The sequence below is a fragment of the Homo sapiens genome, chromosome 8, assembly GCF_000001405.40.
Source record: "Homo sapiens chromosome 8, GRCh38.p14 Primary Assembly".
In the NCBI taxonomy this organism is placed as follows: domain Eukaryota; kingdom Metazoa; phylum Chordata; class Mammalia; order Primates; family Hominidae; genus Homo; species Homo sapiens.
In genome coordinates, this window is record NC_000008.11 from 98,436,078 (window position 1) to 98,463,105 (window position 27,028).

Below are 27,028 nucleotides of genomic sequence, written 5' to 3' on the forward strand. Positions count from 1 at the left end.
CCTGTCCTCAAGCTCCCCCGAATTCTTTGGCCACACAGATCAACCTCTAAGTCCTGGGAACTCCCTCCTTTGTGATTTTGAGGCGCTGTGTGCTGCAGGCTCTGCTTTTCCCTCCCATCACCCCATGGTTCTTCCTTCTCCTCTGACCCCTCCCTCTTCCATTTCTCCCACAGCTCTGTCCACAGCCACAATGTCCATAGGAGCCTGCCACACCCTTTATCCAACTGCAGCCTCAACCCACCTGCAAAGGACCCCTGTGTCTCCTGCCCGACGCCCTCACTCCCGAGCCCCACACCCACATCACCCATGTGCATTGGCATTCACCCTCTCTAAAATGGAATTTCCCACTTCACTCCAAACTTGCTCTTCCTTCTGACTTCTTCCTCATTTCTATCAATGGAACCACAGTGTTCTTGGCCCTTCAGGTTGAAATTTCGGTCATCTTTGAATCCTCCCAATGTATGTATCCCTTTACTCACAATATTGATTATTTACTGGCAGCTGAGTAATTGCCAAGTACCATGTTAGATGCAAGGGAAATAAATCCAAAGGGCATTGCGCACAGTCATAAGCAGTGTAGACTTGAGAGACACTTTACTGTGCAGCAGAATCCTCTGGGGAGCTCTTCACAATGTAGATTTCTGGGCATCACCCATCTACAAATTCAGACTCTTGAGGTGAAACCAGGAATCTGCAGTTAAAGGCTCCCAGGTGACTTGGGTTCAGGTGGCTTTCAGACCACTCATGGGGAAACACTACTTCAGGGGTGCCCCTTGCAGTAGTGCCTCTGTCTCCTCACCTGCACCCACCGGACCAGGTGTCACCCACACTTTCCTCGGTATCTTGCACATCGGTCCTCTTGTATCCATCCTAAGGCTCTCACCCCGCTTCTGTCCGTGTTAACTCATGTTCATTCCCAACAGACTCATCCCTAGGCTCTCCCCCAACAACCCATCCTTTTCTGCAACCCCTCCACTCCCCTCACACACAGGCTAATCTTTCTCTTTCCAGTGTCTTAGACTTACTAGTGACTTCTTGGCCACCGTTGGTGCTCCTGTTGAATATAACCGCAGATGCCAAGGGCCACAGCCGAGGAAGTGGAAAATCTGCACGGGCCCAGTAAGGCTCTATCTAAAAGACAGAAAAGGATTTAGGAAGGAGTTGCCTTTCAACCAGCAACCAGGCACAGGCAGAAGAGACATTAGAGCTTTGTAACAAGGGACACACAGAGTTGGCAGCACAAAGGGCCTGGGCCTCTGAAGGTTGGATGACCAGGCTCATCATCCATCCAGGGATGACCGAGCCTGTGCCCTAGACTATTGGCCTCCCACAGCAGCCAGTCCATCTGCCCAGCAGTCCCTGGGCACCCAGGAATGCAGCCTACACGGCATGAGCGGGCAGGCTGGGGGTATGTGTGGCAGGAACAGAATTGGGGTTCTTGGGGAGGTTTTTTTCCACTTAAAACTCTTTTTGTCGCCTACGTCTCCAGACATTTAAAGATTTCTGAGCTATTTTCAGACCTACTATGAAAAGAACTGAGGTGCCAGCAGTCAGACACCCATCGAACTGTTTCCTAAGAGGAGAACTGGCATGACTCACTTTTGATCTGTCAGCTTTGTATTGATTTTTCTGGCAAACTTTGTAGGTCTGCCCAGGGTTGACTCCACCAGGAGCGGCTACGTTGTAACCCACTGCGTCCAGAGTCAGTCATTACAAAGGCCACCATCACAGGATCGGATTCTGCATTTCTTTTTGTGGGAATGTGGGAGGAGAGGAGGGAAACCACAATCCACAAAACCAAGGGTGTCCCTGGGCTTCCCCACTGCCTGCTGAAGGGAAGCCAGGCAGCTCTCTACATGCCTGTCCTGGGCTAGGGACTGAGGGCTACTTTTGGAAAGAGGGACTGATGGGAGCTGACAGAGGCCCAGAGGCAAACCATTTCCACCCTGTCCTTTCCTCTACACTGGGAACCGGGGAGCCAGCGATTGGAGGCTCAGAAGGAGGATGGTGAGGTTTTATGCACAGTTTAAATATATTGCTATGTAATTTTCCAATTTTAAAACATGAGATCACTGATTATTCAGTAGCTTCCCCATTTTTTTACAAAGCCCTCCTGTGTGTATGTTTGTGTGTGCGTGTGTGTGTTTAAAGCCTTTTCAGTCAAACTGAGATATCCTACCGACCTTCCCATTGTTCCTGAGCCCCCATGAGAATGTGTAGATGTGTGTCAGAGCTTTAGAGCCTGCAAGGAGCTCCCGAGTCTGAGGACTCACTTGTGCTGATATTTCAGGGAAGAGCTTGATGCCTAGAAACTGGAATGTGCAGATGTTGCATATTCAGAGACTGAAGTGCTGGCCTCAGCAAACAATGCCAGGAGAAGAACCAAGAGGTGGAACCACGTCAACCAGGAGCCATTGTTTCGCTGAGGGCAAAGCCATTTGCCAGGCCCTGTGCTGGCTGCCCTAGCCCTCAGTGCCTCCCCTCAACTTTCCTGTGGGTGCCCTCAGGTGAAACGGCCCCTCAGACAGCCCCTCAGGAGCAGGTTTGACATGTCACTGAGAGATGCATATGTGTGTGTGTGCCGGTGTGCATGTGTGTATCTATGTGTGTGTATGTGGGTCTCTGTGTGAGTCTCTGTGTGTGTGTGTGTGTGTGTGTCCATTATGTCTGTGTGCCTGGATGTCTGTGTGTTTCTGTGTGGCCATATGGATGTCTATGAGTCTTGTGTGTATCTGTGTGTGCATGTGTATATGTGTCTGTGTGTGAATCTCTGTGTCCACGTGTCTGAGTGTATGCATGTGGGTGTGTCTGTGCATCTGTGTGTGTCTGTGAACATGGGGGTGGAATGGAAGGGGACAGCCTCACCCGTGGGGAGAAGGGGATGGAAACAGCTGCTCTCCAGGGCTCCTGGTAGACATCACTTCCACAGAGAGGCTTTCTCTGCACTCCTTCCAATTTAAATTCTGCTTTCTGCCAGCCAATATCTCTCCCTCGTGTTGTCTCACTGCATCCAATGCTTTTCCTTCTTAGCTGTTATTGTAATTTGTCATTTTTATTTATTGGGTGATGTCTGTCACCCCCGCTAGTCTGGAAGCTCCATGGATACAGGGATATTTTATCTCCAGTGCCCAATACAATGCCTGGCACAGAATAAATGCTGACAAATAATAAATGAAACGAGGTCAGAAGGGCCTTGTCATTGCCCTTCTGGATAAATTGCGGGTCCCTGTGGAGTCGATTTGACCTGGTACATAGCTGCATCAAGAGTCAGGAGTTTCAGGGCACCGACATCCTTAGCAAAGCCTCCCAGGCTGGAGACCTGTGACATGCTAGCCAGGCACTGCCACCAACAATGAGATTGGAAGGGACAGCTTTCCTGAGAGGCACATTTCTGAATGACATCCAGAACTGAGGAAAGCTTGCCAGATATTCCCCTCAGGTAATGACTAATGCACGAACCAGTTCCCAGGTGAATAATGTCAAAAGGAATCACTATATAGGCCCCCAATCCCTCTGAGGCAGGGTTCAGTGGAAATCACACACTATTAGGCATCAGAGCAGTGGTCAACACATGCGCACACAGTTGGGTCGGCAGGTATTACTTTATACTAGTTAGAGGGATAGGCTTAACATTAATTAATGTCTCATTGCTGATCCTCTAGCAAAATCTAAACCCCAAACCCAAACCTGAGCCCTTCATTTAAATGTATCCTCTGTGGCCAGCTCAGCACAATGAAGTCTGCATACCGATTCAGCCCTGTGGTTCACTGGCTGGATCTCAAATGAAGCTGGCAGCGCATGTGCTGGTGTGGGAAGAAGAGCTTGCAGTGTGCATTTGTCATCTGCCATGCACTAGCAGTGAGATATTGGGCACAACACGGCACCTCTCTAGCCTTCAGGGAAGAGGTGACGCCTGAGCTAGGACTTGCAGGGAGAGGAGGGATATCAGAGGGAGGATGTGCGTACTGATTCCTGGGGGCAGGACCAGGGATAGCTGCTGCCAGCATCAAATCTGCTCCAGCGGGCCAGTCTAGCCCCAAAGGGATAAAGGAGTTGAGGGTAGGCTGCTCCTGGGGCCCTCCTGAGAGGCACAGACGGACAAAAGGTTGGGGACTGGGAGATGGCAGGAATCCAGACCGAGAGTGTGACCAGAGGCCCTGAGAGCCCCGGACACAGGCAGGGCCTTTCAGCTCCAGCTCCAGCTCCTGGGCTGGCAGTCTTAAGGCAAATTTCTCCCATTTCCATTTTTTAAAAATTTATTTTCTAAATTTTAATTGTGATAAAATAGCAGAAAATTTACTATTTTAAGTGTCTAGTTTGTTGGCATTAAGTACATTCGCATTATTGTGCAACCATCACCACCATCCAATTCCAGAACCCTTTTCATCTTGCAAAACAAAAACTCTGTGCCCAGTAAACAATAGTTCCTCATTCCCCAATCCCCTGTCCCTGGTTCAGTTTTCTATTCAATTTTATTACATAAGCACGTGTGTGTGTGTGTGTGTGTGTACCATTAACCAGTGGTACAGTGCAAAAAACTTACATAAATCTTCATTAAAATTCTAGGTCAGACATTTACTACTGTGAGAATTCGGTTAAGTAACATCTTTCTGAACATTTGTCTTCTCAGCTAAAATCTAAGGAGGAGGATGATGATGTTAATAGCTAACATTCACTAGGCACATGTCCGTGCATTTCCCTTTCTCAAAAACCCTATAAAATAGGTTCTAGTATAATTTTCACTGGTACATGAGGAATCGGAAGCACAGAGATGTATCCCAAGGCCACATTTAACATCTACCTTAGAGAGAAGGTCACTGTGAAGAAAGTGCCAGGTACAGAGCCCATGCTCAAAAATGAGGGTTCCCGTTGCCTTTTTCAGGAGTCCTTACCAGGTGTGGTTTATATAGTCTGTGTACGGAGCATCCTTTGTGCAGCAATGAGTCTAGAGTCATTGCATTTTAGTCTTCACCACAACACTAGAAGGTAGATATTTTAAATGTAGTTTCAAAATGTGTTAATTTGTAATTCCACGATAGTTGAAATCAAAGAAATCAAACCTTACAGGGAGAACTCAAAATTCACATGACTACCGCCCTCTAAACTCAGTCCCTGCTCCAGAGTAACTACTCTTATTGCACTAGTGTACTGTATGTCTTCCCAGACCTTTCTATGAATAGACACATCTTTATACCCGGAGAATTGAAAAATGCTTTTGCAGCTTGCTCTGTTCTGGAAACTTCTCAATATCACTCAGAGATATTTTTCCATATCAGTTCATAAAAATCAACCTCATTCTTTTTCACTGCACAGTGTGGTTGTATCAAAGTTTATTTAGCCACCTCCTTCTGATGATCAGTTACTGAGGTGGGCAATATCTTCCTTTGGGCCTGGGTACCTTTTCCAAGGCCATCTGACTGGCAAGTGGCAGAGCTGGGTTCTAGCCCCCTCGTTTCTGGCTCCAAACCCAACAGCCATCACCATTATAGTATAAATCAGCACAAACATAAAGTCTGTTTTCAAGTCAGATGGAAACTCAGTAGTTACTGACTACATTTATTTGTTCAATGCTCACTTATTTATTGAGCATCCACTATGTACTATAACCAGTGGTGGAGAATCTCCACCTTGAAGTGTCTCCCCTCTTGGCTTCCAACTCCATCTCATGCCTCCTGGCTTGTTGTCAAATTTGCTGGCCATCCCTCTTGCTCCACTGCCCCCTAAAATTTTATCTTTGTTCCCTTTTTGTTTCCTCACTTGGCACAGCTCCCGTGGGCCTTTCCATCCATGCCTCTGATTACTAAGTCTTCATTTCCAGGTCTCCCTCTCTCATTCAGCTCCAGACCCATGTTTCCAGCTGCCCCCAGGATACCTGCTCCTGCATATCCCATAGCCATCTAAAATTCAACATGTCCAATTCTGGACTCATTCTCGCATCCCTAAAACCCACTCCTATTCCAATAAACGGCATCACTGCTTTGGGGCGGCCCAAGTTGAGTCTGCAGGGCTAACTTCATCTTCTCACTCTTCTTTGTCCCACAAATTCATTTAGTGAACCAGCTCCATTGGCTCAATTTCCTAAATAGTTCTGGGATCTGCCCTCTCTTCTCTAACACCACTGCCCTATCATAATTCAAGCCCCCAGCCCCTCTCCCTGAACTAGAACAAAAGCCTTCCCCTCTCCAATTCTCCAAGCTCCCAAAGCACCTCATCCATTCCTGTTATCCCTCATCTCAGCACTCGGAACTTACAGGTCTATGTCTGGTCGAGGCATGGGCCATAGTCCAATCATCTTAATATCTCTGGTACATAATTGTTTAGACACAGTTTTCCTGAATGTTTGCTGAAGAAATGTTAGCACCAATGGCACTTCCAGAAATGCTAGATAAAACCACCAAGGTGCGTTATTTCAGGCCCTCACCTTTTACATTATGGTTTTAGGGAAAGTGTAGGAATAAGGACAGAGCAGAATGTCTGTTCCTACATCTGCATGTGTGCTGAAGCTGACTGAGCACTTCTTACTGTTAAACTCGTTCCTCAGTGTTGCGGCTTAGCAGCATTACGAATAATATCATTTCCACTATCTCTGTGTGGTAGCTGTTGGTCTGTCATTCACCCTTGATTTTTGCATTGTAATTGCACATATAACAAATGTATAAAATAAAGAACTAGAACTGGTAGCAAAAAGATATATTATTGCATTTACTGTGCTGCTTGCAAGTATGTTTTTATCTTCTCAACACCTCAACTGAGGATTGTATGTATTCTATAAAGCACTTTTTAGTACTGTGGTTGGGTCCTCACAGTGCAGGAAGTCCTGAGACTATTAAGATATCCCTCAATATTCACACAGATTTTTGTACCAACGACCACAGAATTATAGGAATAAAAATTAAACTGGCTCTTAGCTAAAGCAAAAAAAAAAAACAACAAAAAACCCAGACTCTGTTTTTCTCATTTTTGTAAAGCAGATGTGAGGCATCTGTCTGTTTTGTGTGAATTAAACGGTCTAGACATGCTTTCTAAAGAACTCCAGAGATGTGACTATTTTCATTCCATAAGACAATAGAGAAACTCATGTCTCTCCCTTTAGAAACTGGGGTATATTCTTTCAGGCCTGACAATGTAGTTGAATTCAGGAAATACAGCAGTATTTGCCACCTAAATTTTCACTTTCAATTGGATAATTATTTGTTCAAGGCCAAAATAAATGCTTCCCAAGCTTTCAGGGTATTGGCTATTGAGTAATCTAACTCAGGTTTGGGCGATAACAGGTATGATTTTGTGAATGGCAGTTTGTTTCCAGTGCATTTCTCTGCCTGTATCTATGTTCATGAGTTTGCTTGTCTTCCCAACCACCCTTCCAGCAAACACTGAATGATAGTGGCAACATAGTGATGAGCAAGATAGACACAATCTGTGTCCTCATGGAGGCCAGCAAAGGCATTTAGTAGTTAAAAATTGGGTTTCTAAGGCTTCTTAACCATAGGCTGGGCATGGTGGCTCATGCCTCTATTCCCAGCACTTTGGGAGGCCAAGATGGGCGGATCAGTTGAGGTCAGGAGTTTGAGACCAGCCTAGGCAATATGGCGAAACACTGTCTCTACTAAAAATGCAAAAATTAGCCGGGCATGGTGGCACGTGCCTGTAATCCCAGCTATTCGGGTGACTGAGGCAGGAAAATCGCTTGAACCTAGGAGGCGGAGATTGCAATGAGCCGAGATCACACCACTGCATATTTCAAATGTAGTTTTAAAGTGTGTTAATTTGTAATTCCACAATAGTTGAAGACATGCATCATAAGAAATCAAACCAGGGCGACAGAGCAAGACTATGTCTCTAAATAAATAAATAAGTAAATAAATAAATAAGATTTCTTAACCATTTGCTTAGATCCAAAATTTAAATCACGTTTATTTTACCTATGGTTCCTCCACCCATCATTTGACAAACGTTTATTCAGCATTACTTTGTCAGGGCCTGTGCTGGTGCTACAGAGATGAGGAAAACGTGGGCACAGTCCTGGCCCTCAGGCAGCTTACAGTCAGCAGAGAAGACAGAAGAGTAAGTAGATACCATAATGCAATACAGAAAGTGCGGTGACAGTGATCTATATCTGGGTATACAGAGGAGGTGTCCCTGAGCTAAGCTGAAAGGATGAGTAAGACTTGGTTGCCTCAATTTCAGGAGGGTGGGCAGGAGCTAGGCAGATGTAGGTCACTTAAAGGAATGTCAAGAGATGAGGAGAGGGAGGTGGGGCCCTGGTCAGAGAGGCTTTAATGACCCTTATCCTGCATGTGATGGAAATTCACTGCATCCTGGATTCACATGCTGGCAGATGGAGCAGGGTGAGATCGACTGAGGAGGAACAAGCCTGGCACAGAGCCCAGTTAAGGGGCTGCTGTGATATTCTGGCAGGAGACAATGAGGCCTGAAGGGTAGTGGAGGTAGAATAGAGGACACAGATTTGGGAACATCTTGGAAGACTGAACTGGCAGAGGTAGAATGGCATGGGGTGAAAGACAATGAAGATTTAAGGGGGACTCCCGGGTTTCTAGCATTAGTGATTGGATGGAAGATGGTGGCACCAACTGGGCAGAAAATACAAGGGGAATGGCGTTTGGTCATGTTGAACTTGAGGTACGTGTGGGACATTAAAAATGCAGATGTGAAGTTTTAAGGAGAAGTTTGGGTCAAAGGCAGTAATTTGGGAATCATTTGCACATGAGTTACTAAACTGAGTTTGAGCCACCAGTAAATATTAAAAACATCACAAAAGATGGGCCTGCAGGAGTTACCCCTGTGTTTACTCTGAGAATAGTGATAATTGAATATTGCTGTTGAATTCAATTTTGATGGCATGCTTCCCTATGGGTGCCATTAGAGAGACACTTCTTATCTTGGTACTAAGAATAGTTGGCTTTCTTCTGAGCAACAGAGTATACTTTTATCTTTTGTTTTCTGTAGTTCAAAAACTTTTATTTTTATGATTATAATATAGCTTAATACAATGTATTCATTTTTTAAAGCGTACAGTTCCACGGTTTTTAATATATTCAGAGTTCTGCAACCATCACATAATCAATTTTAGAACAATTTCATCACCTCCCCCAAAAATCCTGTCCCCATTATTTTATTCCTTTTTATTGCTAAATCATATTCCCCAGAATGGATATACATTTCATTTATCCATTCATCAGCTGATGGATGCGTTTAGCTAATAGACTGTCACTGTCAAATAGAAATGTCACGCAAACTACAAATGTGAGCTACATATATAATTTTATATTTTCTAGTAGCCACATTTTTTAAAAGTAAAAGAAAAACAGATGAAATTAATTTTAATAATATATTTCCACCAAACATATCCAAAATATTATTATTTCAACACATAATAAATATAAAAGATTATTGAGATATTTTACTTTTTTTGTATTTTTTTGTATTTTCACAGTAAAATATCGTATGTCATATCTTTTCTCATTTGTTCTTAATTTAGCTATTTTATTATGTTTTATGCATCCTTCTTTGTAAATTGCCTTAATTAAAAATGGAAAATGCTGATGGCCTCAAGAAGAAAACTGCTGACAAAAAGAAGATAAGCTTTTCACTCGGAGCATGCAGATAGTGAACTGATTTGAGGAACTGAATATAAACCTGTCTCCTCAGAAGCTGTTGCCAACTCTCTACCTACCTCTCTCTGCCCCTTTTTCCCCAACACCTAACCTCAGCAAGCCTCTGCAGACATCACTATTTCTAGATATTTATTAAACAGTAGAATTGAGTACAGCCGAGTGTGACCAGTATCTAAAGGCACCAGAAAATAGGCTAGCTCCAACTGGTGTTAATTTATCTGGAAAACATTCAGTGATTTGGGAAAACAAAAACAAAAACAGACCACATGATTCCATGACCTCTCCTAAACTGCAGGGCAGAGAGAGTAAGCAAGACAAACTACCCTCACTGCTTTAATTGTGTAATGAACTTTCTCAGACACCGAAAGGTATGCTAGACATTCTTTCTCATCTCTGTCTTTATATATGCTTTGCCCTCCTCAAAGTGCCTTTCTCCCTTTCCTGCCTTACATGCCTCAAGACTCAGTTCAAATATCTCATTAGTGAAGACTTCCTCTATTCCTACTCCTGCAGGGCTTTGTTTACATCTTTCTTATTGCAATGACCACACGTGGGTGTCCATGCCTGTACCAGGCTATAAGCACCAGCTCTTGGGTAGGAACAAAGCTGCCTTTATTTCTGTATTTCACACTTAGCTTAGACACTGGCACACAGTTGGTGCTTAATAGATGCTTGTTGATGAGTAAAGAAAGTGCAAGTCATGGGTACTCATGGGTGCCAGGTAGTGTTTGAAGGGTTTTCTGTGCATCTCTCATTTACTTTTCATAACCCTCTGAGGTTGTCTCTGCTTGATAAAGAAGGTAAGACTTCTGATCATTAGAGAAATGCAAATCAAAACCACTGAGATACCATCTCACATCAGGCAGAATGGCTATTACTAAAAAGTCAAAAAATAACAGATGCTGGTGAGGTTGCGGAGAAAAGGGAATGCTTATATACTGTTGGTGAGAGTGTAAATTAGTTCAACCATTGTGGAAAGAGCTAAAAATAGAACTACTATTTGACCCAGCAATCCCATTACTGGGTTTATATGCAGAGGAATATAAATCATTCTACCATAAAGACATATGCACGCAAATGTTCATTGCTGCATCACTCACAATAGCAAGGACATGGATTCAACCTAAATGCCCACCAATGACAGACTGGACAAAGAAAATACAGTATATATACACCATAGAATACCATGCAGCCATAAAAAAGAATGAGATAATGTCTTTTGTGAGGACATGGATGGAGTTGGAAGCCATTATCGTTAGCAAACAAACACAGGAACAGAAAACCAAATACCACATGTTCTTGCTTATAAGGGGGAGCTGAATGATGAGAACACATGGACACATAGAGGCGAACAACACACACTGGCGCCTACTTCAGGGTGGAGGGTGGCAAGAGGGAGAGGAACACGAAAAATAACTATTGGGTACTAGGCTTAGTACCTGAATGATGAAATAATCTGTACAACAAACCCCCATGACATATGGATTTACCTATGTAACAAACCTTCACATGTGTCCCCAAACCTAAAATAGAAGGTTAAAAAAAGAAGGTGAGACTTATAAAAAGGATTAAGGAACTCACTCATGGCCATGCAGTAAGTTAGGCAGCAGAGCTTCAAAGATACCTACCTTTGAGGACTTCCAATCTGTAAAAGATATAATCTTTCTTATATTTTTATAACAACCTCAAGAACTAAGGAAATGAATTGACTTCTAATTGGACAGAGTAAGGATAGGCCTTTTCTGTCAGAAGAAATTGTTTTCTCTCAGGCAAGTTAGAAAAGAATACCACAGACAAATATTGCATGTATTTGTATATATCGTATTGCATATATACTATATATATATATAGTATCTATATATTGCAATACTATATATAGTATCTATATATTGCAATACTATATATAGTATCTATATATTGCAATACTATATATAGTATCTGTATATTGCAATACTATATATAGTATCTATATATTGCAATACTATATATAGTATCTATATATTGCAATACATTATGTTGCATGTATTTGTATATATTTGTAAAATATATACAATATTATATATATGTTTGCTATCATTGCTGTGGATGAATGTCAGGGAACTGAGCAAGGCACCAGGATTCATTGAACAAGATTAAAAAACTAGCAACCCATTAGATTACTCTGAAATTGAAATAATTTTACATTAAGAACTTTGTATGTAACTAACCTGCACATTGTGCACATGTACCCTAAAACTTAAAGTATAATAATAATAATAATAATAATAATAATAAAGCAATATAAACTGAAAAAAAAAAAGAACTTTAAAAACATTCTGCTTGGACTTTTTTGACTGCCTGACACATTCAAATTCAAATCAAACTCCAAATCACTACTTACTTGTTAAAGCAATTAATTTACTCTCAGAATCAAAAAGCTTTGCTGAAACTTTTAAAGGTCCATTTCATTCATTCATTACTATCAGGCTGTAATATCACATATAATTTTTAAAGATGACATGCTAAGCATGCAAACTGATTTATGGTCGTCAGCTGGTGTGCTTTTAAAATAAACTCCTATATACTTTATGGAAGGACAACAGAGAAGGAATTCATGAATTTGCACACTGATTGATTAATAATGAAACAATTCCACATTTCAGATTCCTCCATGTACCTTGTTTTTCCTTGACATCAAAGACTTCTGTTCCAAGTGCTATTACGTCTTTTCATTCAAATGTTTTGCCAAGAATATTTTCTTTCCAAATGGGAAAGAAAGCTGTCATAGAATAAGTGGAAAGGCTGAAAAATGCGCAGGTGCAGGAGTGCCCTATCTAACATGGTCGGTATACACTGAACATCAGGGAATATTTAAAAGCTCAGTGCTTTAGTATCAGGTTTTATTTAGCTTCCACTCAACTAATTACAGTTCACCTTGGACATTCTATAAAAATTTAAAAGACAACTAGTTGCTTGGTTTAAACATAGGCAGGCACTGGATTTTCTACCAGAAAAATTTTGAACTGATTAATTCTTAGTGCTCTCTCATAAAATGACATAGACTCACTTTTCTGTTGAGGAAACATGGGGTATGACATAGATTTGTAATTTTTGGTTAAAATGTCATTTGTATCATGCTAAAAACTATTTTTCTTTGCTCTCATCTTTTTTTTCCTTCATATCCTTCTCTTTCTATAGAAAACATTAAGTAACTTATGAATTGAATAGTAAAAATGGAAAAATACAGAGAGGTAGATTTTTTTATAAGAAATTCTTTCTGATGTGTTGGCTGACCTGGGACTGAAAGGTGCTTGCCTGGTAAGCTTGAATCAGTTTTTGTGTTAATGTGATTTGAAAACAGGTTGTGAGGACAGGAGGTGTGAGGGCCAAAGGTACTGTGATGTTCTCTATCTTGGCTCCTTCCAGAAGAAGAAGAAGAGAAGTTATCTCAGTCTCTGGGAACCTTATATTCTAGAGTTCCCTTTCCTCCTGGATGGTAATATTCCCATACAGAAGATTCCAGCAATTGAACTACAACTCACCTTGATACATATTGCCATATTTGACACTCACAAGAACTCTGTGAGAAGATACACAGATTACACATGGTTGATCAGATGTTTTTTAGTGGAAGAACCCATGCCTCCAGATAGTTCCTTTAAAAAGGTATTTTCAGTTGTTATAAATATAGGATCAGAGAAATGTAGATATATACAGCATAGAATCCTACAAACTATTAAAACATAAATTTAATTTTGAACTTCCTGGGACCAAAGCAAATTGAGGCCAAGTCAATGACATGGTTCATATTTGTAAGGACCAAGAACGATGAAACTTCAGTGAACCAAAACTTTAAGAACATAAATTTGATATTTCCTGATGGGTCATCACAAATGGGGCAACTTATGCTGGCCTTAACAATATCCTTACAATAATCATCTTAAAGAGGAGGGGGAAAGTTTAGCATAACATAATGTTATGATTTGGATGTGTTTGTTCCTGCCAAAACTCATGTTGAAATTTAATTGCCAATGTACCAGTGGTGGGAGGAGGTGCCTTTAGGAGGTGATTAGGATGTTAAAATAGATTAATGCCTTTCTCTTGATACTGCGTTAGTTCTCCGGAAATGGATTGGTCTCTGAGTGAATGGGCTATTCTAAAGAAAGATGTCCTCTCATATTTACCCCTTTTCAAACACACTCGCTTTCCCTTTTGTTTCTCCGCCACACTGTGACACAGTATGAGGCTCTCACCAGAAGCCAACCAGATGCCAGCATCATGGTTCTTGACGTTCCCAGCCTCTAGAGTCATAAACCCAATAAAACTCTTTTCTTTAAATTACCCAGTCTCAGGTATTCAATAAATTACCCAGTCTCAACCATTATAGCAACACAAAATGGACTAAGATATACAACTTTCTTTCCTCCGTGTATAGAGAATACTTTAAAAAATTGAGCATGATAGATTCTCCTCAGTGCAAATCACCACCAGAGAGTAGGTCAGGCCCTTACGAGAAGGCCTAACTGGGTTCTAGGTGACTCTAATTCACTTTCGAAGTAACAATCAGCTTGCTTATCAAGGAACAGAGCCCCCTTCTTCATTCTTGCAAAAACATGGCACTAAACTAAAAAGAGTTAAAAGTTTGTTTTTTAATTTAGTATTTACGTGTCATATGTCAAGAACTTTGCTAAATATTGTACATGTCCTAGAACATTTGATCTTCCCAATTGCTGTATTACAGATGAAGATATTGAAACACAGAATGATTAAATGGTTATTTCTGCCCAAGACAACAAAAGTGCAAAAGAACAACTGGGATTTGAACCCAGATCATTTAATTTCTGATGCCAGGCTCCTTCCGCCATGCTGATTAATGTTTCTCTAAAGCAATCATTATCAAAGAAAGACTGATAAGAGAGAATATAATACATTATCATTTACAACAAAACATAGATTTCAAGGCACAAGAACGCCACGTATATCCTAAAATAATAAAAGAAAAAAATCTTGTACGACTCATCTTGGAAGCTTGAATGCATGCACCCTGCATCCTTTTTCTACATGTAGGAAGGATGCCATTTCAGAAAATATAGATTCCACTGAAATGTGAAAGAGGTAAAGTCATCCAACAACAGTCCTAAGTTGTAACTGAAGAGCCATCAGCAAGCAGGCTCAGCAACCCTAACATTCTAAAGCTAGACCTCCTGTTTATTAGGCTATGTGGTCTAGCGGAAATGCAAAGATTTTAGAGACAGATGGGAGTGTAAGGCCACTACTGGCATTAACTAGCTGTGTGACCTCATTTAATCTCTCTAATTCTTTCTTTTCAGTCCTCCCTTTCTTTTTCACCAAAGGGAATATGCATCTTCTTGTGGAGGTTTGAGATGGTGTATCAAAAATGCATGGGTTAGTAGATGCTCACAAAATTATTATTATTGTTGTTATGGTGATTATGTGGATGCCAAGGAGAAAGACAGCCTGTATGATTAATGACAATTTTTTTTTGTTTGAGCTCATGGCGTTCAATGAAACTTTAATACCAAATTATATCTAATATACTGGCATGCATTGTGGGGAAACAAGATGGATAAACACCAAGTCTCTGCCGTCAGGAACTTTACAACCCATAAATAAAATAATGATATAGAGAGTTTGGAAGCAGTTCAGTTTGTTGGCGGAAAGGGCTCAAATAAAACAATAATGGAGATAAGGTCATAAACGTCACTTGAGGCCTGTTGCAGGTCTTGAATGCCAGGAGACAGAGTTCATTCTCAACTTGGCAAAATTCTGTGAGCAGAAAAGCAATTAAAAAATCCTAATTTTTATTTAGGTAGCTTTATCAAGTGAAGAAAGTGGTGGCAAAGAGTCTGACTAATGATGTGGTCCAGTGTGAGAAGAGCATGAAGTAGGAATTGTTTTTCCAAGATTGGTGGAAGAATTGAGCTGGTTCTCTGCTTCCCCTCTTGGAGTCTTTCTGGGACCCCAAAAGGAAGTAGAAGGTAGTTGGCTGAGGTTGAAGGTGGTTTGTATGGAACAGGGCAAAACTGACTGACTCCCTGGAAGTCACCACTCAGTGGCATCAGACTGCCCGACCAGGGTCTGTAAAACTTCCTTGGGTCCAGGTCCCATCATGTTGCCCAAACGGCAAAGAAAAATAGTTCTCATTAGATTCCAGATTCCTAGTCTTTCAGGCCAAAAAAAAAAAAACAAAAAAAAAAACCCTGGTACTCCAAAATTGCATTTTGATGAAATATCTAATTAAATGCCTATGCCTAATAATGGTTTAGTAATGCGATATAACTCCAATTATTTTTCTTTAATGATGTTCTACTTAGAATGTTATTAGCATTTTCAGGATTTATTTTAATCATTAATCTTTAACATACAGGATAGGAAATGAAAATAGCAATCCTATTGAATGCTAATCAGTAATTTGAAAAGATTTCCTGTGACTAAGTTAAAAAACATCTTATTAATGTATTATATAATTTGTTACAGAACTGCACATCCTTCAGTGAGTAGAGCATGATTTTGAACACTGGGGAGGTGATTCAGTAAATAAGCGGAGGAAAAATATAACAGCGGTAAGTAATGTATTTAAGGTTGTTCATCAAAGTGTCTGACATATAGTAAGTGCCCCGAATAACAGGTGTTATTATTTTGAAATCCATTTGAATACACTTTCTTCTCCAATTTGTATTTGCCAAATTAGTTCATACTTTGAACATAAAACTATTTCTGCTAAAATAAGCTAAGTGTATTTTAAGTCTGTAGAAATGAGTCATCTAAGTTCATTACACCAAAGAAAAAACTTTATCATCTACAGGACAATATATACAATGATACTAGCTTTTCAGCAAGATGAAACCCTGATTCACTAGCTTCAGTTACATTCACGATACTGTATTTATTAAAGGATGAGGTGTGCAGAAAAGTACACTTACCTATTTTTGGAAAGTTCCCAGCAACCAGGTTAAAATAGGTTTCTTCTTAAACTCATTAAAATAACTAGAAAACTGTCTTTCCTAAGCATCATGATTAATCAAGGCTTAACTAGACTTGAAGATTTTTTTTTTTTTTTTTTTTTGAGACAAAGCCTTACTCTGTTGCCCAGGCTGGGGTGCAGTGGTGTGATCTCAGCTCACTGCAACCTCCGCCTTCCAGGTTCAAGCGATTCTCCTCCCTTAGCCTCCCAAGTAGCTGGGATTACAGGCGCCTGCTACCACGATCAGCTAATTTTTGTATTTTTAGTAGAGACAGGGTTTCACCATGTTGGTCAGGCTGGTCTTGAACTCTTGACCTCAAGTGATCTGCTGGCCTCAGCCTCCCAAAGTGCTGGGATTACAGGCATGAGCCACCAAGCCTGGCCTAGACTTGATTTCTTTCTTGTTTTTTTTTTTTTTTTTTTTTTTTCGAGACAGAGTCTCGCTCTGTCACCCAGGCTGGAGCGCAGTGGTGTGATCTTGGCCCACTGCAACCTTCTGCCTCCTGGGTTCAAGTGATTCTCCTGCCTCAGCCTCCTGAGTAGCTGGGATTACGGGCATGTGCCACCACGCCCAGCTAATTTTTGTATTTTCAGTAGAGATGGGGTTTCACCATATTAGTCAGGCTGGTCTCGAACTCCTGACCTTGTGATCTGCCTGCCTCGGCCTCCCAAAGTGCTGGGATTACAGGTGTGAGCCACTGCACCCAGGCAGATTTCTTTCATGGCTTGTGATTCTTCAAAACATATCTTAAATTCCTTTGACTGGTAGGGGCAAAGAGTAAGAAGATAGGAAAAATTTAAAAGTAGGTCATCCTAAAATGTTTTGGAGTTTCCTAGGGCTCTAAAATAAAACAATGCCCATTCCTCTTAATTCTCTTAAATATATGTGTGTATTTGTGTACATACACTTAAATAGACATAGATATAATAGGATATAAAGTCTAACTGCAGAAAATTGCAATGTGAGTGGAACACTTGACATATTAAAAGGAGGACTCTCGAGATTGAATTAAGAGTGGTTAACAGGCCTCGCTGAGTTAATTTGCATACATTTTCTAATTTAGCAAACTGAAGAGAAATCATCTTCATAGGTTTCTTGTCCATGTCATGTAGGTGGTTTTGCTTGGATGACAGCAAATCAGTCATTTGATTCCATCAAATCAGGCAAGATATCGAACAGGTTAGTAAAAAGAAAAATAATTAGGAAAAGAAAAAAGGGCAGGGTGTTTCAGTTGATCAACTCACACAACTGTCCCCAACAGACTCCAGTATAGATTTGCTGAAGCATATATTGTAAATTCAGTTCTTCATTTTTTAATAATCTTTGTATGTTTCATACTTATCGTTCTTTTTATAATCTTATAATTTGTATCCAATTATACAATTTATTATTATTTGTAAGGGCTCAACAGGGTAGAGACAAATGACACTTTGAGGCATTACCTAGGGTACAAATACCATTTTTAAAAAGGAATGGAAGCTTTCCAGAGACAATATACCTTCTGTGACAGACATTAGTGAACTCATCAGCTTTTCCTGTTCTCTCCCCTCCAGCTACGTGGTGATGCTACTCTTCCTGACTCCCTCGAAGTTAGGAGTGTCCATGTGACTAATTCTGAATACTGGGTTGTGGCCAACCAGACATGTATCACTACTGGCTGGAGCTAGTATGAAACTCTCCAGCTCCCCTTCTCCTTATTGTGGTGACCACAGATATCTCAGATGGTTGAGGCCCTGTCAGCAGGTCCCTGGGTGTGGATGATAGGAGCAGGGCGCCCTGCCAAACTGGGGTGGGCCTGGAGCAAGAGTGAGGAATAACCTGTATTATGTGAAGCCGCTGAAGGGTGAGGGTTGTCAGCACTGCATAATCTAGCCTGTCCTAACTAATATACGTCCCTTGCTTGGAAAATGCAGAGTCCAGGTCATGAGTTTTAACAAAGATACAGAAACGAAATATGCTGGGTGGCACAGTGAAATTTATTTGTCTTTATGATTTACACATAATAATTAAACACACAAAAGAAAAAACACTGTCAAGATGGCCATATGTAGCTTAGGAAATGACTGGTCCCAATGCAATCATATAAATGTTCATTCAGCGTAAAAATGAGTTTCTTTTTAATGGTTTTAATCTTTTTTTTTTCAGTCCCCAAGGCTTGTACCACTCAGTACAAATGTTTTTGCTACTGGGTTATCATCAGGAACATGATGTTTACCAATTCCCAGGAAATGAATAAAATCAACAGAAACATCCTGTGACAACAGAGCACATTTTCATAGAAATGAAATTGATGAGCTTATTACAGTTTGAATCAGTTCAGCTATTAGATCTACACATAAAACATGAAACAATATTAACAAATTACATTTGTATTAAGTTTTTATTTAAAAATATTTATCACACTTTTTTGTGCAAGGGTTCCATTGATTTCTTTGGTTTTAAACACGATAGATCTATTTTACCTAAATATATATAGTTCTATTTGTACCAAACATCAAAAATCAAAAAAACAAAATTTCAAAGGGTAAAAATGGAATTATTGCTTCAATATAAAAAAGGCCTAGCCCATTTGAGAACTACTGCCATTATTGCTTTCCTATTTGAAAAACTATCCTGGAAATCAAGGAATGTACCCCATAGCTCCCTGCAGAAAGTATAAATTGGTTGCACATTATCATCATATTAATATGACCCTACCTTCACCAAAGCTATCCTGATCTTGTCCTTAAAAAATGAAACAAAGCAAAATAGCATAAATAAATAAGTTTACCTAAGGGGATACAATAAATAGCCTAGTATACTAGATAGGAATAAAGAATATTGTAACATAAAGCCCTTCAGTGCTGTACAATGCAACAATAGCTTTGGATTTTCAAGGTTTAGAGACCTTGAAAATCCATTTCATAACAGTTTTATTACTGGTATGCAGCTGACAGAACAAGAGAATACACTTCTTTTGTTCTCCTCATCTTAGAGTGAATGCACAGCAGATACAACTGTCAATTCTGCCTTTTGGGAATTTACCTGGGCATGTACCATTGTCACTTTTTGACCTCTGCCTAATTGTAGGGCAAAATCTTAGGATTAAAAATATCCAAATATTCCTTCAATTCCTAGTGGTTTCTTGGTCTCCAGAATAGTTAAAAACAGAGAGGAAATTAGACTCAAAAGTTTTGCTGCCTTCTTTTCTTTGCATCCATCGCATCCAGAATGGGCTGTCTTTTCGCAGTGTATCTCTGACGAAGTTCTTCTATCTCCCGTTCCATCATGGGGTCCAGTGCTTTTAACCGCATCTGTAGTTCTTCTAAACTTAGATTTTTCAACTAGATACAGAAAGAAAGATACCAATACAATGAAATTATCCACATTATCCACAATCAATACAATGAAATTAGACTTTAATGTCTAATGAGTTTTAACATAAATATTTCAGCAAATTCTTTACATCATCTTTGAAGTATAGTTCAACAATTAAAACAGGAATTTCTTCCTTGAAGAACTCAGAGGTCATATCTTGCAAGAACCTCCAGTAATCTGCAATGAAGCAATCCGATCCTCTGCCTTTAATAAAGGGCAAATGAGAAAAATACGCTGATGGAATTTGTAAAAAGGTACAAAGACAAATCCACCACTGCCAACAAACAGATTTTCAGAATATGTTCCAGGTATATTCACTCTAACTTTTTACATCTTTGCCAGCTACTGAGTGCTACAATAATCATGAACACTTGCAGAGATCACTCAAGAATGTGACAAGACTGAATAAAGGTTAAATTAACCATTCTATCCTCCATTTTACTAAATGCTTAATAAAGAAGATGACTGTGGTAGGGGGCGGGAAGTAAGGCTGAATAGGCCTGGTGGGGCCCCAAAAGCAGGAAGCCATGATCAATTCTGGAGTAGGACAGTTATGTAAGAGTAATCCAGATTTGGTTTTCTTTTCTTCTTCTTCTTCTTCTTATTTTTTTTGACACAAGGTCTCAAACTTCTGGGCTCAAGAGATCCTCCTGCCTTGACCTCCTCAGTAGCTGGGATGTGCCACTGCACCCAGCTCAGGCTTGGTTTTAAAATGATAAAACTTGCAACTTACTTTTTGTTTTAAGAAGATAATTGCCTTTGGTTATTTTATGAGTCAAGCTAGGAAAAATACTCATTACTTATAGTCATCCAAAGTAGCATTTCTCAGCAGATCCTTTTACTCGCCATCCCTGGCCCTATCGTGACTTCTGCTTCCAAAAACCAAATTCACTCTTAGCTGAAAAAGACTCTGAGGATACTGAAAAGAATGAGTCATAGACTCTCTGAAGGAAATTCAAAAAAGGAGTTCCAAAAATATTTTGAGAAATGACAGTGTTATGGAGAAGAGTATGCAGGCTTCCATGATGATGACTTTGAAGGTGAATGCCACTCACTTCGGTGCATAAGAAGTTCTGGTATGTATATTAATAATCAGCCCTGTTATTTTGTAGTCATATGTCATGAAAGAACCTAGCTTTTAATATTATGCCATAAAACATACATTTATATATCATATGTAGTATTATACACTTTCTTCATTGATTTTTAATCCAAGTAGTGATCTTGCATCTGTTACATGCTCAGTGCTGTTCAAATCACTGTGGAGATACAGAATAAGACAAACAGGGAAACTCCAAACTTTGAACTGTACACATCGGTAATGGCCACATTGAAAGGCCAATGTATACCACACAACCACATTTCCCAAGAAAGACATGCCCAACTATGTCTATGTAGGATCCAGTTCCACTTCTGTGTTCTTCAACATCATCTCTATTTCAGCCCATGTTAATCTTTCCCATTTCTAAATTTCTATGTAACACTCATAATTTAAACAACACAATTTAGTATTTGATTCTAAATCATGTACTATTTTATAATTGATTTTTATGCATGAGTTTCATGTCCCTAGATATTCCAAAAAATACTTAGACTTTAGAGACTGTACATACACCAAGAAACTATCCTACTATACTGCAAATAACATGACGTAAACGTAGATAGATAAATATGAATAAGAATATATGACCCAAAGGAGTGGGTTACTCTAAGATCAGAAGAACTAACATATTATATAAAGCAAACAATTATCATTACTTTAATTCTGAATTAAGATATTCCTGTAAATATCTTGTACTACTTTTACTGGGGCAAACTGCCAATAGGTTTATAAATATTGTATTGCAGTAATAGACTGAACTCAGAAAAAGAAGCTACTTAGAAGAAAAATTTTCTTCCTTTAACAGATTTTTATATTATCAATGCGTAAAATTTGTGAAAAACAGGTCTGTGATATTAGAGAAACATTATCTAACATTATTAAGGAATTAGGTGTTCATGTAAGTAAATTAATGAAGTACCTAAATCTTAGTTCTTTAAGTGATAAAACTTTGTCTCAATATCACATACACACACATATACACACACACACACACACACATGTGCACACACACATGTATTTACATATGCTCTTTTTTGGTTCTATGTGACTTTTAGGATTTTTTTCTAATTTTGTGAAAAATGATGTTGGTATTTTGATAGGAAATGCACTGAATCTGTAGACTGCTTTGGGCAGTAAGGTCTTTTTCATAATATTGATTCTTCCAATCCATGAGCATGGGATGTATTTCCATTTGTGTCATGCATGATTTCTTTCAACAGTGTTTTGTAGTTCTCCCTGTAGGGATCTTTTACCTTCTTGGCTAAGTATATTCCTAGGTAATTTATTGCTATTACTATTATTATTATTAATTATTTTACAGCTATTGTAAAAGGGGTTGAGTTCTTGATTTGATTCTCAGCTTGGTCACTGTTGGTATATAATAGTGCTACTGATTTGTACCACTGATTTTGTAACCTAAGACTTTACTGATATGGTTTGGCTGTGTCCCCACCCAAATCTCATCATGAATTGTAATCCTCATAATCCCCATGTGTCTAGGGAGACACCTGGTGGGAGGTGATTGGATCATGGGGGCAGTTTCCCTCCATGCTGTTCTAGTGATAGTGAGTGAGTTCTCACAATATCTGATGGTTTTATAAGGGGCCCTTCCTTCTTCAATCTCACTCTGCTCTCCCCTCTCACCACGTGAGAAGGTCCAGGCTTGCTTCACCTTCACCTTCCACCATGATTGTAAATTTCCTGAGGCCTCCCCAGTCACATGGAACTGTGAATCAATACACCTCTTTCCTTTGTAAATTACCCAGTCTTGGGTATTTCTTTATAGTAGTGTGAAAATGGACTAACACAGTTAACTGGCACTGAGGTAGTGGGGCGCTGCTATAAAGATACTTGAAATGTGGAAGCAACTTTGGAACTGGGTAATGGGCAGAGGTTGGAATAGTTTGGAGGGCTCAGAAGAAGTTAAGAAGATGTGGGAAAGTTTGGAACTTCCTAGAGACTTGTTGAATGGTTTTGGCCAAAATGCTGTTAGTGATATGGACAATGAAGCCGTGGCTGAAGTGGTCTCAGACGAACATGAGAAACTCACTGGCAACTGGAGCAAAGATCACTCTTGCTATGCTTTAGCAAAGGGACTGGTGGCATTTTGCCCCTGCCCTAGAGATCTGTGAAACTTTGAACTTGAAAGAGATGATAGGGTATCTGGGGGAATAAATTTCTAAGCAGCAAAGTGTTCAAGATGTGACATGGGTGCTCTTAAAAGCATTCAGTTTTATGGATTCACAAATAGATGGTTTGAAATTGGAACTTATGTTTAAAAGGGAAGCAGAGCATAAAAGTTTGGAAAATTTGCAGCCTGATGATGTGATGGAAAAGAAAAACCTGTTTTCTGGGGGAGAAATTCGAGCCTGCAGCAGAAATCTGCGTTAAGTAATAAGGAGCCGAGACAATGGGGAAAATGTCTCCAGGGCATGTCAGAGATCTTGCCAGCAGCCCCATTTCATCACAGGCATGGAGGCCTAGGAGGAAAATTAGTTTCATGGGCCAGGCCCAGGGGCCCTGCTACTCTGTGCAGCCTTGAGACATGGCACCCTGCATCCCAGCCATTTCAGTTCCAGTCATGGCTAAAAGGGGCCAAGGTACAGCTCGGGCCATGGCTTCAGCTCAAGCCTTGGTGGCTTCCACATGGTGTTGGGCCTGCGAGTGCACAGAAGTCAAGAATTGAGGCTTGGGAACCTCTACCTAGACTTCAGAGGATGTAATGGAAATGACTGGATGTCCAGTCAGAAGTTTGCTGCAGGAGCAGAGCCCTCAAAGAGAACTTCTGGTAGGGCAGTGTGGAAGGGAAATGTGGGGTTGGAGACCCCATAAAGAGTCCCCACTGGGGTGCTCCCTAGTGGAGCTGTGAGAAGACAGCCACTCTCCTCCAGAACACAGAATGGTAGATCCATTGACAGCTTGCACCATATGCCTGGAAAAGCTGCAGACACTCAATACCAGCCTGTGAAAGCAGCTGAGAGGAGGGCTGTAACCTGCAAAGCCACAGGGGTAGTGCTACCCAAGACCATGGGAGCCCACCTCTTGCATCAATGTGACCCGGATGTGAGACATGGAGTCAAAGGAGATCATTTTGGAACTTTAAAATTTAATGGCTACCCTGCTGGGTTTCAGATTTGCATGGGGCCTTTAGCCCCTTTGTTTTGGCCAATTTCTCCCATTTGGAATAAGAGCATTTATCCAATGCCTGTACCCCCATTGTGTCTTGGAAGTCACTAACTTGCTTTTGATTTTATAGGCTCTTAGGTGGAAGGGACTTGCCTTGTCTCAGATTAGACTTTGGACTTGGACTTTTGGGTTAATGCTGGAATGAGTTAACACGTTGGGGAACTATTGAAAAGGCATGATTGTATTTTGAAACGTAAGGACATGAGATTTGGGAGGAGCCAGGGGCAGAATGATATGGTTTGGCTGTGTCCCCACTCAAATCTCATCTTGAAGTGTAATCTCCATAATCTTGGTTTGTAATCCCCATGTGTCTAGAGAGAGACCTGGTGGGAGGTGACTGGATCATGGGGGCAGTTTCCTCCATGCTGTTCTCATGATAATGAGTGAATTCTCACAAGATCTGATGGGTTTATGAGGGGCTCTTTCTCCTTCACTCTCTACTCTCTCCTGCCACCATGTAAGAAGGTCCAAGCTTGCTTCACCTTCACCATCTGCCATGATTATAAGTTTCCTGAGGCCTCCCCAGGCACGCAGAACTATGAATCAACTCGATTTTTAAAAACATATTGAGACTTGTTTTAGGCCTATCATATGGTTTATCTTGGAGAATGTTTAATTTTGGATAAGAAGAATGTATATTCTGCAATTCTTGGGTAGAATGTTCTGTAAATATTTGTTATGTCCATTTGTTCTACAGTGAAGTTTAAGTCCTGTCTTCATTGACTTTCTGCCTCGATGATCTGTCTAGTGCTGCCAGTGGAGTGGTGAAGTCCCCCACTATTACTGGGTTGCACCTATCTCTTTTCTTAGATTTAAGAGTAATTGTTTTATGAATCTCAGAGCTCAAGAGTTAGGTGCATATTTATTTAGGACTATATCTTCTTGTTGGATTGATCCTTTTATCATTACATAATGTCATTCTTTGTCTTTTTTTTTTACTGATGTTGCTTTAAATTCTGTTTTATCTGAAATAAGAATAGCTACCCCTGCTCACTTTTACTTTCCATTTGCATAGAATATCTTCTTCTACCCCTTTGAGTCTATACAAATCCTTATGTGTTGGGTAAGTCTCTTGAAGACAGCAGATATGTGGTTTGTAATTTTTTATCAATTCTGCCAACCAGTATCTTTTAAGTGGAGCATTTAGACCATTTACATTCAACATTAATACTGAAATGTGAGGTACTGTTCCAGTCATCACGTTGGTTGTTTTCTAGATACTCTGTTTTCTTCATTGTGTTATTGTATTACAGGCCTTGTGAGTTTTACGCTTTCAAGAGGTTCTATTCTGGTGCATATCTACCTTTCGTTTCATGATTCAGAACTCCTTTTAGCATTTCTCGTAGGGATGCTCTGGTAGTGACAAATTCTCTCAGCATTTGCTTGTCTGAAAAAGAATTTATTTCTCCTTCATTTATGGAACAGTTTTGCTGGATACAAAATTCTTAGTTAACGGTTTTCTGTTTAAGGAGGTTAAAGATAGGACCCCAGTCCCTTCTGGCTTGTAAGGTTTGTGCTGAGAAATCTGCTGTTAGTCTGATAGGTTTTCCTTTACAGGTTACATAACGCTTTTGTCTCACTGCTCTTGGTGACATCTTTTTTGCAACGAATCTCCTAGAAGTTCTTTTTTAATTAAAACACTTTTTTTTTTTGTGGGTGCATACCGGGTACCTGAAATGTTTTGATACTGGCATGCAATTGTGAAATAAGCACCTCATTGAGAATGGGGTATCCATCCCCTCAAGCATTTATCCTTTGAATACGATCCAATAACACTCTTCAAGTTATTTTAAAATGTACAATTAAGTTATTATTAACTATAGTAACCCTGTTGTGCTATCAAATAGTAGGTCTTATTCATTCTTTTTATTTTTTATTTTTTTTGACAGAGTCTACTCTGTCACGCAAGCTGGAGTGCAGTGGTGTGATCTCGGCTCACCGCAACTGATGAGAAAGCAAAAAATGTCCATCAAAATATGAATGGATAAAGAAAATATGGTACATATACACAATGGAGTACATTCGTGTGCCATATCTGTTTCTACTCATGCTGTTTTCCTTCTCTATCCTATTTCCCATTTTATCATCTTACTCATCCTTCAGTGAGTTAGCTGTGCATGGGCCTATCTTGCCAGCTAGATTGCAATCTTGTTGTGGGAGATAGAGTGTTTTACTCATCTCCGAACCTACTATGCTGTATTTATTTTAAAAATATCTGATTTCAGTTTTGTGGTTGTATGAGGTTGAGTTTACAGGAAATCTGACTTCTGCATAAGCTACATATATCGCTAGGTCTTCAGGTGGGCTGTCAGAGAACTTCAAAGTACTCACTGACATATTTATTGAGATTTTTCTATGGACCAAGCATAGTAGAATGAATTTTCATTCACATCTTGAATAGTTTTTCAAACTTCTTTATGTTGTTTTTCACCTTTCTCTCGTATCTCCTTTGGTAGCTTAATAATCAACCTTTTGAATTCTTTATAAAAAGATATTTCAAAGATTTCATCTTGGTTTAGATCAATTGCTGGAGAGCTAATGTGATCTTTTCAGGGGTGTTATAGAACCCTGTTATGTCATATTGCCAGAATTGTTTTTCTGGTTCCTTCTCATTTAGGTAGAAATATATGGAATGCTTCACGAATTTGCATGTGAGCCTTGCACAGGGGCCATGCTAATCTTCACTGTATCATTCCAATTTTAGTATATGTGCTGCTGAAGTGAGCACCGTCTCAATTGTTTTGAACAGAAAATCTTTATAAAGTGTTCCACAGAATATACTG

At 40.0% G+C, this 27,028-nt stretch overlaps 1 protein-coding gene and 1 pseudogene across 16 annotated transcripts in view; both read right to left on the reverse strand.

Annotated features, from left to right (window-relative positions):
• STK3 (serine/threonine kinase 3) overlaps nt 1-27,028 on the reverse strand; it is a 598,636-nt gene that overhangs the window by 92,103 nt on the left and 479,505 nt on the right. For 6 of the 16 annotated variants that reach the window (XR_007060753.1, XR_007060752.1, XM_047422133.1 and 3 more), the window contains one exon: nt 1,026-1,131. Coding sequence is in view for 14 of the 16 variants with exons in the window: in XM_047422133.1 (XP_047278089.1) it covers nt 1,026-1,131 (106 nt within the window). In the remaining 2 variants the exon portion in view is untranslated. Of the gene's footprint in view, nt 1-1,025; nt 1,132-18,555; nt 21,217-27,028 lie in introns of those variants that run through there. The other 10 variants (XM_011517252.4, XM_011517248.3, NM_001256312.2 and 7 more) reach the window with 4 other exon arrangements.
• Nucleotides 26,867-26,973, reverse strand: RNU6-748P (RNA, U6 small nuclear 748, pseudogene; annotated as a pseudogene).